This window comes from Homo sapiens, chromosome 7 (assembly GCF_000001405.40).
Source record: "Homo sapiens chromosome 7, GRCh38.p14 Primary Assembly".
Taxonomy (NCBI): Eukaryota; Metazoa; Chordata; class Mammalia; order Primates; family Hominidae; genus Homo; species Homo sapiens.
The window spans coordinates 130,885,599-130,905,504 of record NC_000007.14 but is presented as its reverse complement, the minus strand read 5'-3'; the positions used below and the strand labels follow the sequence as shown (position 1 = coordinate 130,905,504).

At 47.0% G+C, this 19,906-nt stretch overlaps 1 long non-coding RNA gene across 5 annotated transcripts in view, besides 5 other annotated features; it reads left to right on the top strand.

Annotated features, from left to right (window-relative positions):
- Window positions 1–19,906, top strand: part of LINC-PINT (long intergenic non-protein coding RNA, p53 induced transcript) — a 232,364-nt gene that overhangs the window by 204,421 nt on the left and 8,037 nt on the right. The window lies entirely within an intron of this gene.
- Window positions 914–2,113: an enhancer, noted in NCBI's record as "BRD4-independent group 4 enhancer chr7:130588151-130589350 (GRCh37/hg19 assembly coordinates)". NCBI's record gives its function as "activates an origin of replication core promoter dependent on BRD2, P300/CBP, MED14 and CDK7 cofactors, and independent of BRD4, by STARR-seq in HCT116 cells {active_cell/tissue: HCT116}" and the evidence as "EXISTENCE:reporter gene assay evidence [ECO:0000049][PMID:35650434]".
- Window positions 5,272–5,475: a silencer, noted in NCBI's record as "fragment chr7:130584789-130584992 (GRCh37/hg19 assembly coordinates)". NCBI's record gives its function as "represses an EF-1alpha promoter that drives an FKBP-Casp9 reporter gene in an ReSE screen in HepG2 liver carcinoma cells {active_cell/tissue: HepG2}" and the evidence as "EXISTENCE:reporter gene assay evidence [ECO:0000049][PMID:32094911]".
- Window positions 5,272–5,715: a biological region, named in NCBI's record as "Sharpr-MPRA regulatory region 2521".
- Window positions 5,421–5,715: an enhancer, noted in NCBI's record as "tiled region #2521; HepG2 Activating DNase matched - State 5:Enh". NCBI's record gives its function as "activates a minimal TATA promoter and a strong SV40 promoter by Sharpr-MPRA in HepG2 cells {active_cell/tissue: HepG2}" and the evidence as "EXISTENCE:reporter gene assay evidence [ECO:0000049][PMID:27701403]".
- Window positions 17,829–19,028: an enhancer, noted in NCBI's record as "MED14-independent group 3 enhancer chr7:130571236-130572435 (GRCh37/hg19 assembly coordinates)". NCBI's record gives its function as "activates an origin of replication core promoter dependent on BRD2, BRD4, P300/CBP and CDK7 cofactors, and independent of MED14, by STARR-seq in HCT116 cells {active_cell/tissue: HCT116}" and the evidence as "EXISTENCE:reporter gene assay evidence [ECO:0000049][PMID:35650434]".

The following is a 19,906-nucleotide window of genomic DNA, read 5'->3' as shown; positions in this document are numbered from 1 at the left end:
ATACAAAAAACTAGCTGGGCGTCATGGCACATGCCTGTAATCCCCGCTACTTGGGAGGCTGGGGCAGGAGGCAGGACAATCGCTTGAACCCGACAGGCAGAGGTTGCAGTGAGCCGAGATCGTGCCACTGCAACTCTAGACTGGGCCATGAGCGAGACTCTTTCTCAAAAAAAAAAAAAAGTTGGTTTTATTAGATTACAGAGAATACTTTCTCTATCCAAAATCTGTGATTTTAATCTAGAACACTGAATGTAGGTCAGTATCCACCCCATTTTCAGAAATCTGGGAAGATCTTTTTTTGTTTTTCAGCTTCTCAGAATAAATACTTTCTAGGATGTTACAAACATGGATGAAGTTCACCAGAACAGATCCAGGGTTAACCTTTTAAAGTCATTAGATATGGCTCCAGTAAAAGGCATGAGAAGGCACCCGTGAGACCCTGCAGAGGAAGCCTCACTCCTGGGCAGCCTTACGGCTGACGAGCTACCTTACTGAGCATATTCCTGCCTCTACACCAGAGACTCACTCTGTGGTCCGGTGTCACCTCGATTCTAAATTCCCTGCTTCCTGGTGAATGATGCTATCACACTTTAGAAACCTGGCCAATAAATGCTTTGAAATTTAAGGATAGCTATCCTGAAAAAATTTAATATAACCTAAATTGATAGTCTAATGACATCAGTATTCAGAAGAGGCATTCTATTTCAGCAAGTGGTTTTCAGAAAAAAAAAAAAAATAAATAACCTGAGTTTTTCCCCTGCCACTCTCCCCTCTTGCTTTTATGCTGCAAAAAGAGCTTGTGGCTTGCCTGACACACCGTGTTGTTCTCTGCCTTCGAAGATCTAGCTCCCTCAGCCTCCCCACGTTGTCCACCTCTCCAATACCATTGCTCCACTGGGAAGCTGGCCCGGAGGTGCTCTACCACGTTCATCTCTCGCAGCCCAGGGCTGTCTTTAACGTTACAGAGACACAGATATCAAAGTGTTGCAATTTATTTGGCTTTCATTAATTTGCCGGAAGCAAGGGAGGGTAGATACAAAGTACTCCTCTAACCTGTTATTTTCCTTGCTGTTAAAATGTAAAGAAGACTGATGTAAGAATCTCTGCCTTCCACCAGTCATAACCATGGTATGCACAGAGCTTATGAATCATCTTCTAAATTCACAGCTAGTTTTAAAATTTAGCTTCCAGGCTAGATCTGCAGGAAATGATTGGGAGATCGTAAGTGCTATGGAGTGAATATGAAGTTACTTACCAGATCCCATAAAGTTAGCTCAGGGAATCCTGAGGAAGGTGTCACTCAGAAAGCTGCTTTCAAAGCTGAGTCAGACCTGCATGGTGTTTATTACCTCCATTGTGTTACCATGCCAAACATATAAATAGCTTCAAAGTGAGTTCAGATTAAAACACAGAAAAATCTTTGGATATATTCACAGGCCAGTGGGGGTCATGTAACAAGTCAGCAAGGAAAATAAAAGATATTTGAGGTACAGCCTCAACTTTTTAAGATGGATCTTGAATAAAAAGGTCTAATGAAATATTTTATGGTATTGCTCTCTGGGATTTAAAAAAACAAAGCAAAACAAAAAAACGAGGGCACTGGAACAATGTTTTAGATAGATCACGGGTGTTTTCCAGTATGCATTTTTAGTGCACTTACTTAACTGAGAGCCCTCTCATATGAAACTGGAATGTCACCACCATGTGATAAAGCGTAGACTAGCTGTGACCTAATACGTACTGATCATGACTAACGCAGAAGTCCAGGTCACTGCGGTTGTATTTCCTGTGGCCTCAATGTTCTGGGGTTAGGGTTAACAGGGATAATTCATTTCTGTGTTCAAGTCTCTAATTCTTCCATCATGTAAACTGTAAGTGGGAGCAGACTGGATTCAGCATTGCTACAAGAGAAAAACAACAAATAGGAACACCACCAACACCATGTGTTGGGAGCCCCATGTGCCAGGCACTGTGCCAAATACTCGATATTGATTATCTCTTTTAATACACAATCCTGTGTGGCAGATCCTACTATGAGACCCATTTTACAGATAGACAACTGAGGCTGGGGGAAGTTGGAAATGGAGGAGCCAGGATTCAAGTCACAGCAGTCTGGCTCCTGCGCCCAAGCTTTTAATTTGTATCCTATTCACTTTTCATAAATAAATGACTCGTGTTGGAGGTGTTTGTATCCTTGGGGCCACTCAGTTTTATTCAGCCAGCTTTCCTTGGTTGTGGTTTTAATGTGTTAGGGAAGAATGAATGTATTCCCCACAGCTGGGCATCTTTGTGCTGGATCACCTGGCCACAGCTCATGAATAGTGCAGATTATCACACCCCACCCCCATGACTCCAGCAAATGTGCTGTGGGTATAGGAGAGTATGTTCAAAAAAGGCAATTAACAAAGCAACTGTCCCAACTACCAAGAAAAACAAATGTGGCATAACCCATGATAGAACCCTCTTTTTTCCTTATTAGACATGAATAGAAGCTCATTAATGCCGTCCAGTAAGTTCAAGCCGCATAACTTACATACACTGTCAGGACCCAGAAAGAAACCTGTTGTCTTGTGATGTTATTGTTGCTTGGTTGACCTCATCATGTCTTGACAGGGCTCAAGACACCCTTCATGATCTGGTCTTACCTCTCAGGACTCCCCCCATCCTTACCATTGTTTGTTGATCTCTGGTGCAGCCAAATGAAGCCCATCATGCTTGTCCTCTGCCTGGAAGCTCTTCCTTCCCTCTTCCTGGCCAATGGCTACTGTCCCTTCAGAGCACCTGTTCAGATGAAACCTCCACCAGGCAGCCTCTGCTGACTCCTAAGGGCTGGGCTAGGTGCCCCTTGGGTGCTTCCACAGCCCTTTCTGCTTACCCAGTTGTACATGTGTCATACTGTGTTCTGTAATTCCTCTTTTTGTCCATCTTCCCTGGCTTGCATTGACCCCTTAAAAGCCATGATTAGGGCCGGGCGCCGTGGCTCACGCCTGTAATCTCAGCACTTTGGGAGGCCGAGGCAAGTGGATCACAAGGTCAGATCGAGACCATCCTGGCTAACGTGGTGAAACCCCATCTACTAAAAATACTAAAATTAGCTGGGTGTGGTGGCACACGCCTGTAGTCCCAGCTCCTCGGGAGGCTGGGGCAGGAGAATTGCTTGAACCCGGGAGGCGGAGGTTGCAGTGAGCAGAGATTGCGCCACTGCACTCCAACCTGGGCAACAGAGCGAGACTCCGTCTCAAAATAAAACAAAACAAAATCATGATGCCATGATCAGTGTTTACTTTTGGATAAACACCCGGACACATGATAGAGAATAAATGTTTGAGAGAGAGAAATGACCTACTGGGTAACACCAAAAACTAATGTATACCATGTCTAGTGTTTACAGTTTACAAGATGCTTTCACACACATAACTTCATTTGATCCTCCCGGCAACTCTGCAAAATAGATTTCTGCAGCCCTGTTGTACTGACCAGGAAACATCAGCCTGCCCTGATGGCAGGGATGTGGTTAGCAGGTGGAAAGCCAGGACTCAGGCTCAGGTCTTCGAACCCAGATTTTATGCCCTATGTACCGCCATGTGGATATTCTCAAGGCAACTCTCTGAAATATTTCCAGAATCTTTCACAAAAGTCCTGTGTCGTCCTTGTCCTGGCCAACTAGACTCAGAGGGAGGACTGATGGATTTTCATCTCCCTCTTCCCCTTCGTCTTTTCTTCTCAGCATCTTCCTACCCTCCCCACCACCGCGCTTCTCCACCAAAAGTCTGATGCTGGCATGTAATGGACCCTTTCCAAGTTTCAAGGTGTTGACAGTAAATCTTTTGTATTTAGACCGGGCCGGCTGCTTTCCTTTTCTTGTGGGTAGAACTCTGGAAAAGTGGAGGGGGGTGGGTGGGGCTTCAGGTAAAGTACGTCAGCAAATTGGATAAGTCGGATCTTCGTTGTGTGAGTGGGTAAGAGATGAACTGGGGGGAGGGGTGTGTGTTTGGGCAGTGAGCAAGCCGGCAAGAGAATGTGAGTGGGCGGCCAGTTGGTTGGCAAGTGAGAGGCTGTGGAGAGGTTGCTGCTGGGACGGGCTGTGCAATTAAACAGTTGAGCAGATCTTAATAGCAGACTGGGGCGGTGCTCTCCGCAGGCCTGCGGGGAGCAGGGAGCAGGGGAAGCAAGCGAGCTGGAAGCATCTTCGGGCACAGAGCTAGATACGAATTTCAGAAGCACATAACCTGAGGAATAGAATGCAACCAGAGGAGGGAGAAATAGAGATTCCAGGCAGCGTTTCCTAAACTTAAAAAGTTTTGAATACCCAGTTTTGCCTTGTTCTGGGGACCTCTGGCAATGTTGTTCAAGGGAGGAATTTTTAATTTCATAGAAAAGTGAATTTTACCACCACAAGAGAACATGAGACCAAGGTCATAAATCCCTTTGTTTGGAGTGTCCGTTCTGAACTCCTTGTATACTTTTATTTGCAGGAAGAGGCTATACCAGCAAGTATTATGGTTTTACTGGGTGGGGCGGCAAGGCCAGGAAGAGATGGAGATGCTGTTAAAGGTCCTTGCTCCAGAACATTCAGAGATCAGAGGAACTCAAGAGGTCAAAGTAGGCTGATGTCATTGTTCATCCATTTATTCAGCAAAACTTTCTTGAACACCTACTGTGTGCCAGGCACTGGTTGGCAGTGAGGTGAAGACGATAGTGATGAAAACAAAGGCATGGTCTCTGTCATCATGGAACCTAAGTAAACACATACCAAAAAAAATGGCCCAAGAAAAATCATGCCCTGAGGGGAAGGCACTCAGATGAAAAGGACCTTCTTCCCAGTGGTCCCCTGAGGAGGTGATTTCCAAGGTCTCAGCTAAGGGATGAGCAGGAATGTGTGGGTGCAGGGGGTAGGGGTGAGAGCTCTCGGCATAGAGAGAGCAGCACATTTCAAAGGCCCTGGAGTGGGGAAGGAGGTGGCAGGTGCAGCTGTGTGGTGGCTACTTCCACTTCTGGAGTGCAGTAGCATGATCTCGACTCACTGCAACCTCTGCCTCCCGGGTTCAAGCAATTCTCCTGCCACAGTTTCCCAAGTAGCTGAGATTATAGGTGCAAGCCACCACGCCTCGCTGATTATTACATTTTTAGTAGAGACGGGGTTTTACCATGTTGGCCAGGCTGGTCTCGAACTCTGTCTCCTGGAACCTCTTGATGAGCCCCTGTGAGGTTCCCCAGCCCAGGGCATCCCCCCAGGTATTCAGGAGAGACCCGTCCCCAAGAGACTGCCTGCTACTTCCTCTTCCTATGAATGTCACTGTGAGGGGAATAAATAAGGATAGACCAGAAAAGCAAATTGTAAGAAATTTGAAACCAGTTGTCAGTTTTCAGGTGCCCAGGAGCATGACAATATGCCCGAGGGACCGTAACAGGACTTGACATGGAGCTGGGTCTAAAGCAGATGACCTGGTGGCTGCAGCGTGTTCCACACAGGCGAGCACTGTGAGGCCAAAGGACTGGTGTTGAGCAGAATGAAAAAGCACAGTGTTGGTTAATCCTGAAAAGTGAAGCCTGCAAGAAATGAACTTCGACCTTGGAGTGGGGGTGGGACAGGGGCTAGAAGGAAGAGAGGCTCGGAAGTGTGTTGTGTAAACGTGGTTCTGTTTTGTCTAATCTTTTACTACCTGTAGGGACAGGTGGATGCAGTGGAGCTGCTGGCAGGAAAGGTGGAGTTTTTTCAAGGTCACGAGTTAAGCAATAGAGTAGAATATCTTTGCAGCTGCAAGAGGAGGTGCGAGCAGCTTGTTCACAAGGTATATTTTGCAGGAGTTTCCCCTTACAAGATCTTATTTGCTTGAGAGTAGCGTTAAGGATTTCTGTGCCAACAGTTAGCTGGATCTCTGGGGTTGAATCGTTATCACCAATCTATAGTTAAAATAAGCATTAAAAAAAAAAAGGAGTCTACTTTCAAAGTTTTCCCGAAGTGCCAGTCTGAAGCAGCTACCTTTAAAAGCTGTTCTTGAATAATAGGTTGCTATATCCTAGTCTGTAATCTTGGACTAATGTCTGAGGAAGGAAAAAAAAAAAAAGAATATTCTCTCTTTGTCCGATTAAGAAGTGGAGGTAGACAGCGATTCGACATGTTGTATGGGCGAGGCTGTGCTGAGCTTGCGTCTGGGACAATGACCAGACAGATGAAAGGAGAAGTGAGAGATATTTTTAGCACATCAGGACTGCTTTGAAACATTGATTTTTTTTCCATCTCCTCCCACCCCCCATAATTCCAGCAGGAAGATTCAGTGGCAGGCACTTTAATTCAGTGTAAAAACATCTTCTATATTACACACTAAAATATTCATGAGGAAAGGGAGTTGCTGATTTTAAGGCGTAGCTTTAAAACCCACGTCTGTCGGCTTGATGGTCAGTGTCCCGCCACACAGTCTGGAAGTGTGACGTGGCCAAGGAGGACCCCCAGAAGGATCCTGTGTCTTCCGTGGGGACTACTCCTTTCCTCAGAGGAGCGGGTTCACAGGAAACTGGAGCAGAAGGATGCCTTTAGCCCCACTCCTGTTGGTCCTCAGTCCCTTCTCCTTTGATCAGGTGGTTCAAGCACGCCTTGAAGTTCCGGTGTTCAAACAACGTGACCTCTGCAATTACGTTCTAATACTTGTCGGTGCCCAACTTAAACCACTAGCAATGTTAGTTAAAAACATCAGGGAGGCCGGGCGCGTGGCTCATGCCTGTAGTCCCAGCACTTTGGGAGGCCTAGGCGGGCAGATCACTTGAGGTCAAGAGTTCGAGACCAGCCTGGCCAACATGGTGAAACTCTGTCTCTACTGAAAATACAAAAAAAGTTAGCCAGGTGTGGTGGCGGGTGCCTGTAATCCCAGCTACTTGGGAGGCTGAGGCTGAGGCAGGAGAATCACTTGAACCCGGGAGGCAGAGGTTGCAGTGAGCTGAGATCGCGCCACTGCAGTCTAGCCTGGGTGACAGAGACAAAACACAAAACAAAACAAAACACCTCAGGAGGCTGTAAATCAAGCACAACTGAAGCAAAGATAAAAACGGGCAGTCTCAGAATCACCTTTGAAGGTGGAAGGAAGGGCGTTTGTGTGTGACAAGAAGAGTGTACGTTCATACAAGGGTTTTTACTCCTCCTCTGAAAAGTCCTGCTTGGTGGCTGGCCAGTTTGTCATGCTTGGCTGCCCAAGCAAGTGGTGGCAGTCGGAGCACAGGAGAAAGCCGCAGGGGGTGAGGAAGAAGTGCTGGAGAGGGCGCTCCACCTTTCGGCTGCCCTGACCTGTCTCCAGCCCCAGGGCATGTGGTTCTGGGCCGGGCACTGGCCCCCTCTCTGTGGACTGTACCAGGCAGCGGGTAGTGCACAAGCTCTGAGGTCAGGCCACCTGGGCCTAAACTCCAGCTCTGCTCCTTGCTAGCAGTGTGACTCTGGGCACGTTCAAGTTACTTCATGCTTTGTGCCTCAGTTTCCTCATCTGTGAAATGGGGATGGTAACAGGACCCTCATCCCAGGACTGCTGTGTGGATTGAAGTGCCTGCAACGGGATTTGTCTTTTCTGGGATCGCGGTGGATGCTCTATTCCAGGTGAGGGAGTCTCTTGCTTTCTCCTACCTCTTGCAGCCGCTTTGCCTCTGAGTGGCAAATAGCAAGTGGCTGAAAATCACAATGAGCCCGTCAGAGAATGGGGATGGGCCACAAGGCCACAGTCGGATGGGTTCTCCATGCCCTCGACTATGCAGCGGGGTCAGGGCATCCCTTCCTCCTGGGGTGCCCACACCATTCCCTTGGAAGTTTAGACAGCAGCCCTTGCCTCGCCAGACGCAGCAACCCCTCCCAGCTACACGTGGAATCTGTGGCCCAGCCTCCCTCAGATGACCCGCATTGCCTGACAGAGACCAGGGGCCCTGAGGGGTGGCTGTCGCTGGCCTGGGACAGGGTCCCTGCAGGTTTTCAGGGTCCTCAGCAGCATTCGCCAGCGTCGGGTCAGACTGAGTCATGGGGCCCGAGCTCTCCACGAGTTGGTTCTCCAGTTGGTTCTCGTTGGGGGTAATGCCCTTCATCGAACCGCTTCATCCCCAGCCTGTATTGTCTCCGTCTCTTCGCAGTTGTCAGAGGGCTCGGCCGCCACCCTGAAACAGCCCAGAGCTCTCTGAAGAGCACGAGCTTTTACGCTTCTCTCCCCAAATCAACTGACTTTTTCATTGCTTCTGTGGAGGCTTTCTGTGGGAGAAAAGCGTGTTTATGGGGCAAGCTCAGAGAGCTCCTGTCCCCGTGGTGGAATTTTTTTAGTGGCTCTGCCCACGTGGTGGTGAGCGCCGGTGAGGATGGGACGCATTTTCTGCTAAAATGGCTGTGCGAGGCTGCCACCTCGTGGCCAGCACAAGGCAGTGAGTGTGTCCCTTGCTGGAGCTTCTGGGTGAAATAAACTCATTTTAAAGGTCTTCAGCAAGGACCTCACTCCCTCACTCTCTCAGTGTGCATATCATTCCAGCTCCAGGGCTTAATGCGTCTGTTGTGGCATCTCTCAAATCTGTACTTTGCTATCTCTTTGACTACAGAGTCACTACCTTCCGATAAGCCCTTCTGCTGTCTCCAGACCGATCCTTCTAAAGCGTAGATGTCATTGTCTTTCTCTCATTAAAGCTCTTTCATGGCTCCTCATTTTCCAGGTTCCAGCTCATGTCTCAGGAGGCCGCTAAGCCCACTCCTCTGCCCCAGCCTGTGTCTGCGCACGTCTCTTCTCCCTTCCTCCTGGTTTCCTCTGGCTGATACCTGCTCACCTGAAAGTCATCTCAGGTGCCACCTCCTCCAGGGATTCCTCGCATTAGATTAGCTTCCTTCTTCCCCATTCCTAGCTGACTTCCTTCATTATGCCTCAGATCCTTTTTTTGGAAGAAAAAGAAAGAAATGGAAGACAGACTGGCCAGCAGGGGGAGAGAGAGGGAGGGAGGGCATATCAGAGAATTCAATATGCTGCGTTTTAACCAGATACTTTTCTTCCTCTCCCACAAGGCATCAGAGTAGAGACTGCCTTTCATCTCTCTCCCCCTTGTGTAATAGCACAGTGTCTGGCAGATAACTGTTGCTTGCTAATTATTAGAAGGAAGAAAGGGAGGGAGAATAAAAGCCAGCATCACCATGTGATCTTCCTAAGTGCGACAGATGTGAGAAAAGAACTACCTTAAGCTCCAGGGGCCCTAGAGGAACGGCGCTGCGTGCTAGTGCAGATGGTAGCAAACGCTCTCACCTGGCTTGGCAACACTTCTTCACCTCTTCTTTCTACCACCACAGCGACTGTCTCCCTCCAGCCCATCCTACTGCCAAATTCATCTTCTATTAAGCATAGCTTCAATCACATCATTTCTTTATCAAAACACTTCTACAGAGGAGTTCCAAATGCTTTAGCCGGGCCGTCCAGGGCCTCCACAGGATGACCCCAGCCCATCTAGTTTTCTACCACTCTTTATGTGTTTCCTAAGTACCATTCATTATTTTAGGACTTGGTATTTGCTGATGAATTTACTTACTTACTTGAGAGTGTGGCAAAAGCACATCCTAAACTTTCAGTTAAAAGGAGTTTGATTGATTGACCTGCTCTGAGTTTAAGGCACGTGCTGGTCACTGTGGGAGCCATTAAAGAAGGTATTGTTCTGTGGCCGCCAGGAACAGATAGCCCAGCTGGGGACAAGACAAAAAAGCAGGGGGCATTAAGGAACAGACAGCAGAAAGGAACATGTCACAAGTGCACAATTAATCGCCAAATATATGGCTCAAGAAGGGGTGGTGATCAAACCAGATAATGTCTGTGAAAGTGCCTCTCTCCTGTCAAACTCCCAATTCCGAGCAGTCCTACAGTCGGCCCCTTCCACAGGGCGTAGCCCTGTCATTCCACCTCAAACGTCGTACACACTCGGCCTGTCCTACAAAGCCCTTCGTGATAAGGCCTGCTTCTCCTTCCCACCTTGTGGGACCCCCGACCCTGGAACCCCGAGCTGCAGAGCTGGAGAGAATGCACTCTGTTGTTTGGTATACGTGTTCCTTGAAACATTCACTCCTCCCCATTTTCCTTCGGTGTTTAACCTGTTCTTCCTTTAAAATTCGGCTTTTCCTTTAAAATCCAGCCTGGAGCTCCCCAATGAAGACTTCTGTGGCGCTGCAGGCAAAACTCACCACCTGCAGAGTCTCTGCTCTCCCTTGTCAAATACGCGTTTGTGACATACATTGGAAGGCATCGGGCACATTTCTGTCATCTGTGTGACTGTGGACCTCTGCCGCAGGGGTCATGTCCTTTCCCTTTACAGTGCTTGATGAGGTACACGTCTTGTCAATGTTTGTCACGGACTGAAACTTAACACATTAGAGAGGACAGCAAAGTCAGTTGACTCTAAATTGTTAAGGCACAAGCTCTGTGAGTTCAGAAGAGACATGTGCCAGAATCGGTCCAGGGAGGTTCTTAGAACCTACCAGTTCTAAGTAGGAGTTCTTAGAACCTACCAGTTCTAAGTAGGAATTCTTAGAACTGGAAGGTCAAAGCTTTGTACATGTGAAATAGATCAAACAATAAAAAGAATTCCATGTAGAATAGCTCAGTGTCTGTGGCTCCTAATGGCTCCCCCATTCTCTGCACCAGCCAGCGGGAGGAGAAAGCCTGCAGAGTGGGGGCAGCGGAGACAGAACATCTTAACCCCAGCAGAGGCTTTATCTAAGGAAGTAGAGCGAATGCCCTGAAGGTGGGTTGGACTTAGGTGGTGGAAAGGTTTCAAATGCACTCTGTTATCTTGCAGGTAGTGGCTGCCATTTATTACTTTAGAAAACCATGGCGACTTCATCAAAGTGGTGTTTTAGAAAGATGATCCAGGGCCGTCTTTTCCCTTTGAGAGTGGGAGGTGCCCTGTGGCCCTACCTTCATTTTCTGTGATGGTATTCCCAGTGGTTTCCTCCCTGTGGCTTTGCGGCTTAGTGGTGAACCAAGAGGCTTAGGATGCAGGTGCAAAGCCCCTCTACTCTTTAATGCCTCACTTCAAGGTGCAGGATCTTTCCCTCTGTAAACAAAGGCTTTCCTTCTGGCACTGCCCTTGACCTGCTCAGAGCTGTTCTCTGATCCTTTGGGTCTCTCTGCCCTCGTGACTGGCAGTGACCTGCTAGGCAGCAACCCCCACGCAGCAGGTGGTCCTCCAGAGCTGAGTCACCACCCCGGGAACCGTGCCCTGGTGAGGCCATCCAAGGTAGACCGGCACAGGGCGGGTGTGAGTGGCCTCTCCACCTGGCCCCTCGGTCTGGGAGGGCTCTTTCAGCTTGACAGAGAGAGCAAAGGAAACTCGGATTTTTGGCAAAGCAGAAAAACATTTTACCTGTGATCACAGTTATGGGCCTTGGTCAGTCATTTGATTTCAGCACACCCAAATTGTCCATTTACAGATACCTTGAGACATGGAAAGGGAGGAAATTTTTTAATGATGTTTTAAGATTCTGTTTGACCTCATGAATTAAGAGCGGTGAGAAGTAATAGAACACGGAGAGATACCTAAGCCATTGATTGATATTGTAGGCAATAAACAAGTGAGATTCAGATTATTTTTAAAAATTTTTTTCATGGGCACTGATGGATGTTTAAAAAATTATGACGTGTTCTGTTCATGACGCGTTCTGTTCATTTCCAGAGAAGAGAAAAATGTGGTTGCTTTTGAAAGGAGGTTTTTTGTTTTGTTTTGTTTTGTTTTTAAACGTCTAGCTTATTCATTACACCAGCGAATAGCAATGACCTCAGTCTAAAAAGCAAGTTAACCATCATCTCTCTCCTTGCCTGGGAAAAGAAGCCTTTATCTAAGTAGCCAAAAGATGGGCAAGGCTGACCACCCAGTCATTTCGGCTGATCAGGATTTTCCAAAAAACAAAAAGCTCTCTGTTTTCACAACTGAGTGACAACTCTTAGGAAATACTACCAGCTTACTCAGTTTGAGTAAGGCCATGGAGAAGTCTGGTGACAGTCAGTTGCCTGGATGCACATGTTACACATGGCTAACGATGCTGTCACCACTGGGAGCTTTCAGAATTGGAGAAAATAACACCGTGTCTCTTGCTTTCTGAACATGGAATTTTTAACTTTTTTTTTTTTTTTTTCTGGAGACAGAGTCTCGCTCTGGCGCCCAGGCTGGAGTGCAGTGGCATGATCTCAGCTCACTACAACCTCCACCTCCCGGGTTCAAACAATTCTCCTGCCTCAGCCTCCCAAGTAGCTGGGATTACAGGTGCCCACCACCACGCCTGGCTAATTTCTGTATTTTTAGTAGAGATGGGGTTTTGCCATGTTGGCCAAGCCGGTGTTGAACCCCTGGCCTCAGGTGATCCACCCACCTCAGCCTCCCAAAGTGCTGGGATTACAGGCATGAGCCACCCCATGCCCAGCTGGAATTTTTTAACTTAAAAAAAAAAAGTTTCAGTGTTTGTCCTTACCCATTATGTGCCCAGTTAGTTCTATACCAGTGAAAGTTCCCCCCAAAAGAAAAAGAAAAAGAAAAAAAAGACTGTCATTTTCTTGAGCAGCTTTCTTGAGCTCTGTGTGTGTATGCCTATGTCTGGGGCATACACAAGGACTCTGGCAGGCCCACTAAACTCTACCACGTAGTTGCCAGATATGCTGTAAACTGTCACCTGGAAGTTGGGATTTACTCTTTTATTTTTCTGTTTATTTTGCATGAGTACTGTATGTATAAAAAAGTAGCCACATATGGATGGTCAAAGGGTTTCCTAGAAATATGGATAGTCAGAGGGCTTCCTAGAAATATGGATGGTCAAAGGTATCCTAGTTTTTCAGGTAAACTCCACTAGAAACCAGAACCATATCCCAATTCCATAGCCTTTATTATTTCAGATCAATAGAAGCAGAATCAAAATGCATTTGGAGCTTAGAGGTCAATTGATTTGGAAACCACTCCGGTGCAAAGAATCTCTAGATTCATTGATTTTGGAGTATTGTTTAGGGGAAAAGGACTTTAAAGGCTGGGCGGGGAAGCTTTATTCCTTTTTTTTTTTTTTTTTTTTTTTTTTTTTTCAGAAGACATTTATGAGTTTATTGATTTGGCACATTTCCAGAGGACAATTCAGTGACATATACCAACATGTACAACAGATTCATCTTTTGACCCAACTTTTTCACTCTTTTTTTTTTTATTTTTTTTTATTTAATGTTTTTTTTTTATTATACTCTAAGTTTTAGGGTACATGTGCACATTGTGCAGGTTAGTTACATATGTATACATGTGCCATGCTGGTGCGCTGCACCCACTAACGTGTCATCTAGCATTAGGTATATCTCCCAATGCTATCCCTCCCCCCTCCCCCGACCCCACCACAGTCCCCAGAGTGTGATATTCCCCTTCCTGTGTCCATGTGATCTCATTGTTCAATTCCCACCTATGAGTGAGAATATGCGGTGTTTGGTTTTTTGTTCTTGCGATAGTTTGCTGAGAATGATGGTTTCCAATTTCATCCATGTCCCTACAAAGGACATGAACTCATCATTTTTTATGGCTGCATAGTATTCCATGGTGTATATGTGCCACATTTTCTTAACTTTATAACCTGTGTGGGGCAGGAGAATTAACCTGCTTTTGGATTAGAGGCTGCAAAAAAGCCAGTTCTGGTGACCACACTAAAAAGATTAATGAGCACTTAGCACCAAATTAAATACCCCCCTGCCCCCGCCTTTATGAAAGTGGAGTTCATAGTACAAATGTGACAGCGTTAAACATTGAAGCCATTCGAAGGAACCTGGGAAGTACTCAGGCACCGATGAGTTAAAAACACAGAGACATCCAGTAAGTGAGTTCCCGCTGGGCACGGGTCTGTTTATCTTGCCTTTCTGAAGTCAGAGCCAACATTCTTAATGGTTTTGAATGATTCAGAATGTTTCTTTTTTGGCAGGGCCAGTTTCCACGCATGGGCTTATGACTAAAACCCCTTAGGTGAGGTCCAAAGCAGAAACCAGCCTCACACTTAATGTCGTATTTCAGAATCATCTTATTTTAGAGCAAAAGGAAAACTATTAAATATAGCTTGCTTATTTCAGACATGAAGGGACGGAACCAGGGAGGCTTTGGTCAGCCAGAGGTCACAGGACTGGAGAGAGAGGCCAGCCCGAGGCAGACCTCTGGGTTCTGGGCCCAGCCCTCCCTCCTCTGCACCACACAGCTCTTGTCCAGACCTCGGAAGGAGGTTCCAGCGTGGCCTCAGCCTCCCGCTGGAAGAGGCAGCTTGCCCTTTGAGATCGTTTAGAAAACGACTTGGGTCAGAAAGGAGAACTTCATTTTTACAAAATGAAACAAATCAGTTATTTGCCATAGACAGCTTTTTCAAAATATCCTTTGCCAGTGTGTCGTGAATGTATTAGCTCTGGGACAGAAACAAGAATAATAACAATTCTATCTACTATATGCCAAAAGAAGAGACTTGATATACTTCTTTTTTTTTTTTTTGGATGAGAATGAACTTATGCCACACTAGTTCTTAATAAAACAAACTGAATCCTTACCACAGGAGAAAGAATTGAGCAATGTTCTAAGAACAGGCTGTCCTCTTTGGGGCACTGAGTGAATGTAATATTTAGAAGATGCCCTTGAAGCTCACAAGTGCCTCTTGGGATGGAGTAAAGGGGGAGAAACGGCGAGAGAACTCGGACAGAGAAGCTGTCCATGGGAGGAGAAGGCCTTGGGAAGAGCCATCGACTCACCCCCTTCCTGCTTGATTGAGGACTTTGGGAATCACAGATGCCATAGGAGAGAACCCATTTCTTCAAAGCCAGGAGGTGAACCGGCCCACCCCTGCTGTGCCCACCACACTACAGCCAGTAAGGGTTCTCCTCTGGACCTGAGCCACTGTCCCCAAGGGCCAGAAACCAGCCATGTGTGGCGTCCCCAGAAAAGGACATGAGCAGGTACTCAGCCCCGCCACACACATTTGTCTAAGGAGAGAAAGCAAGTCAGCGAAATGGGATCTGCACCAAGATCTCTGCACCCAGGGAGCTGCTGTGGAGTAAATCCTATTTTTCCAGGTGGTGTTTAAACAGCTGTCATTGATCACTTTGCTTTTTTTAATTGATTATTTCGAAACGTGTTTTCCCCCAAAGGATGTTAGTATGTCATAAATATTCAGTTAAGCAACTCCAGGATGATCTTTTAGTAGGAGGAGCTGTCTTTTGGTCCTAGTAACACTAAGTGCCATTTTTTCCCTCTTCTAAGCCCATGGAAACAACGTGGAGGAAAAATGATTATATATTTAGCTTCTAGCATGATTTTAGAGATAAATGACAGCCACCTCCCAGACCTCATTCCCAACACCTGTATTAATTTTTATTTTATTTTTATTTTTTTGAGACAGAGTCTCGCTCCATCACCCAGGCTGGAGTGCAGTGCTGTGATCTCTTAGCTCGCCTAATTTTTGTATTTTTAGTAGAGACGGGGTTCCGCCATGTTGGCCAGGCTGCTCTCGAACTCCTGACCTCAAGTGATCCACCTGTCTCGTCTTCCCAAAGTGCTAGGATTACATGCATGAGCCACTGCGCCCCACCTTGTCTTTATTTTTAAAGTAGGCAATTTATTTTAATTTTTTGTGTGTGTATGACAGGGTCTCGTTCTGTCACTGGAGTGCAGTGGCACCATCAAGGCTCACTGCAGCCTCAACCTCCTGGGCTCAAACGATCCTCCTGCCTCAGCCTCCCAAGTAGCTGGGACTACACTCACCACCACACCCAGCTACTTTTAAACTTTTTTGTAGAGACATGCAGTCTTGCTGTGTTGCCCAGGCTGGTCTCGAACTCATGGCCTCAAGCGATCCTCCAGCCTTGGCCTCCCAAAGTGCTGCGATTACAGGTGTGAGCCACCATGCCCAGCCCAGTTTATTTTTAAAAGAGCTACTGGCTGGGCGTGGTGGCTCACGCCTGTAATCCTAACACTCTGGGAGGCCCAGGCGAGTGGATCACCTGAGATCAGGAGTTTAAGACCAGCCTGGCCAACATAGTGAAATCCCATCTCTACTCAAAATACAAAAATTAGCTGGGTGTAGTGGGGCATACCCATAGTCTAGCTACTTGGGAGGCTGAGGCAGGAGAATCACTTGAACCTGGGAGGCGGAGGTTGCAGTGAGCCTAGATCGCACCACTGCCTCCGGCCTGGGCAACAGAGCAAGACTCTGTCTCAAAAAAAAAAAAAAAAAAAAAAAGCTACTGAAGAGAGGAGTTTCGCTGTGTTAAGACCACTGTGCGTCCATAATGGCCTTCCCTCAGATCTCTCTTCCAGGGAGCTAGGGCTGTCTACACATGCTCCGTAGAAACAAATGCACATTTTCTACACGGGAGTGAATTGGAGAGTCGTGGTGGTGATAGTTTAACTGAAATCTACCTTGGATTTTTTTTCTTCTCTGCTTTATATTTGTTTAAAAAAGCATGATCCAGCAAATGCATCAAATTAAAGCTGTGGGTACAGTTCTCCTAACAGAAAATCACACAGTAAGCTGGGACAATGGAACAGAAAGCAGTGGGTATTGTTTTCTTCTTAAGATTTTTATATTCACATTGGATGAGAATGTCTCCTAACCCTCCCCTTGCTGTTGTTCTTGGAATGGGTACCTTATTCATGGCCTCCTTACATAGAGGGAGCAGATTCAGGACAGAGGCTCTGCATGCTCCTGGGTCCCTCCTAAGCGAGCACTCCCCTCCACTGCTCCTCCTGTTCGGCATGCTAGATTTTCTGTGCACTTGCAGTCATACGGAAACTGGCTTCCTTCTTAGCTGTGCGTGTGAAAGTCACCCCAGTGTTTCACCTGCAGTGTGAGTGTAATTTGGGGTCCCATGACATGATCATCTTCCTTTTGATTTCTAAAGCTAGGGTCAGGGAAGGGGACTCGTTTTGAGCCAAAGGGCATTTTAAGGGCATCATTTCATATGTTCACTGTCTGCAGCCAACACTGCACTCTAGACAAATGGGTACCTTTATGTCCCATTTATTAAGACATCCTGCAAAAGGGGCTCCTGGCCCCTGTGGGAAGCTTGAAAGGAACAGACCATATCCTGTTTCTTTTTGCTCATACCTCTGTGGTGAGATCTTATTCTGACCCCATAGTCTGGTGCCATACCTGTGGGTCCCTGTATCTCCTAGAATTCCCCCTATGCTAGTGTTTAGCCCGTGTAATGACAGTTATCTGTCCACAGGGCTGTATCCCCCGCCAGCTTGTAAACTCCATGAAGACCGGCCCTGCGTCTCACTCACTCCTGTCCACAGCAGTGCCTCCCACATGTTAGGTCTTAACAAACATCTGTTTCTTCTACTCTTCATAAAATCCACGCTTCTTCTCACCCCCCCGTCATCCCTGATCCCAGCTAACTTTGACCCTGTGTGCGGGGGCGGGGGATCTACATGTGGGCTCCACCCCCGCACGCCTGCTGCCCTGTCATCTCTGATCCCTGGCGGTGGGATGTCTACCATGGCTCTGCCCAATCCCCCACTGTCTTCACCCCTGCCACATCTGGCATGATTTTACCGTCCCCTTCCTAGAGTTCTCCCTTTCTCCCCTGCCCAGGCTGCACCCCTGGAGAGCCCAGCTCAGGCCCCTGGCCCCTATGAAGCCTCTCCTGAATAATCCATCAGCCTGCCCTGAGCTCATCCAGTCTCCAATGACGATTGTGCTCTCCACCAGCAGGACACACCGGAGCACTTTCTCTGTCCCTGAGAATTGGACTCCATTCCACAGTTAGGTCCTGGGTCACATACAGACATTTCACATCCCCTCCTCAGTATTCCCCAGCAGCGTGCAGCACAGTGCGGGCTTCTAGGAGGCAGTCGGTGGATATTTACCCATGATTTTAAGAGGTCTGTCTTGACCAGGAATGTTGAGAAGTGACCTGTGTCTCTGCAGCATTGCTGCTAGTTAGTCCCTCGTGGAAGAAGTGGCATGTCCCTCCTGTGTCTGGCTCACGGGGACCGGCGCCTCCTGTGTTTGCCCCCGCCATGCCCTGTGGTTTCCTTTGACACCCTCTGTCATTGTCTATTTTTATGTTTTAAACTTCAGTGGGATTTACCTCTCGTTTGCTCCCATATCCTCCTGGTAAATTGTAAACTTGGTGAATCAATGATGAGTAATCAGTAGGCAGAAATGGTTGGAATTTCCTGGTCCCAGTTTCAGATCATATCTGTCTTTCCCCAGACTCCTAACTTCCTGTTGGGACATCCCTTGGTCTGGCCTTTCCCTCCAGAGAAGCCCCCAGACCCACCCGCAGCCTTGATTTACTGATGCCTAATCTTATTTTAGTCTTTCACACCAGTTTTTAACAACTCGACTGTATAGATCTTCTGGAAATTTTACCCAAAAATGTTAGATGTGCCATCCCCTCACAGGGGAAAGTGGTGGGGTGGTGGGGGTTAATGTGTTGAAAATCTATGTATCTTGTATTTTATTTGAGTCAGCTGTGTTTTCACAACAACTCTGAGAGTTAACATCATTTCTACTTTATAAATTAAAAAAACAAAACAAAAACAAAAAACTAAAGCCCCAAAAGGATTGAATAGCTTGCCAAGGCTGTGTAACAAGTGAAATTTGAATCCGGGTCTGTATGATCCCAAAGCTTAAGCTGCCCGTCTTTCTATTCCCAGTTCAAACGTGCCTTGAAATGGGAGCTCACTTGATAGTACTTGGCTTTTAAAAGGCTACGTACATGTAAGTACCTTCACTCAAATATGCTGGGGCTCAGTAGGAGAAGCAAAGAGAAGGAAAAGGTATTGATTGATCGATTTGATTCTAAGCAGAGATTGACAGAGATAAGCTTCTAAGACCTTTCAGGCCCCAGAGTGTGACTGTTGAGCACCTAAGAAGACCTCACTTGACCCGTGACTTCCCGCCAGAGCCTTGGGAAGCCCATGAGTGCAGCGTGCTCGCCGGCTGGGCTGGAACTTGCTGCTCTTCTCTGCAGTGGCAGGCTGGCTTCTGCCCCTAGACTGGAACTGCCAAGGGCTGCTATAGAAGGGACAAACTTCCAGTGCTCACTGAGGAGCCAGGGGTATCCTGGGAAGCTGAAAATGCATTTGTCAAGCTCAGGTCTTCACAATTGAGAAACCCCATCACTAACCCGTACGGTTTTCTTGACCAAAACTTTCAGTGCTCTGTTTTTCCCATCTGTAAATAATGTTCATACATCTAAATCCTAGGAGGTTGCAGGGACAGTGGCTTAGAAAGTCACCACATTCTCTAAAGGAGTGACAGAGAGGATGAAAGAAGCATGCTCTATAATTAGGTTTTATTACATGCTTTTTAAGGTTAATTGAAGGACTTCCCAGCAGCTTCCCTAGCCACTTTTTCAAATACTGAAAGCTTCCAGAAAGCAGCAGACAGGTGTTCCTCACAATCTGACACAGACTTCAGTTACTGTTGAAAAGTGAAAGAGGGCTGGGCGCGGTGGCTCACACCTATAATCCCAACACTTTGGGAGGCCGAGGTGGGCGGATCACCTGAGGTCAGGAGGTCAAGACCAGCGTGGCCAACATGGCAAAACCCCATCTCTACTAAAAATACAAAAATTAGCTGGGTGTAGTGGCACACGCCTAAAACTCCAGCTACTTGGGAGGCTGAGGCATGAGAAAAAATCGCTCGAACCCAGGAGGCGGAGGTTACAATGAGTCAAGATCATGCCACTGCACTCCAGCCTGGGTGACAGAGTGAGACTATCTCACAAAAAAAAAAAAAAAAAGAAAAAAATGAAAGAGCTCCTGTCTGACGTTGGTTTTCTATACCCATTTTTATAATCAGACAATTTTGGAAACATGCTATTATGATAGTGTTTAAATATTCCAGAATTCTGTGTGTTCGGTAGCTTCACGTTGGTTTGATTGTTGTTTTACCCCACTGCCTCTTCCTTCCCATCTG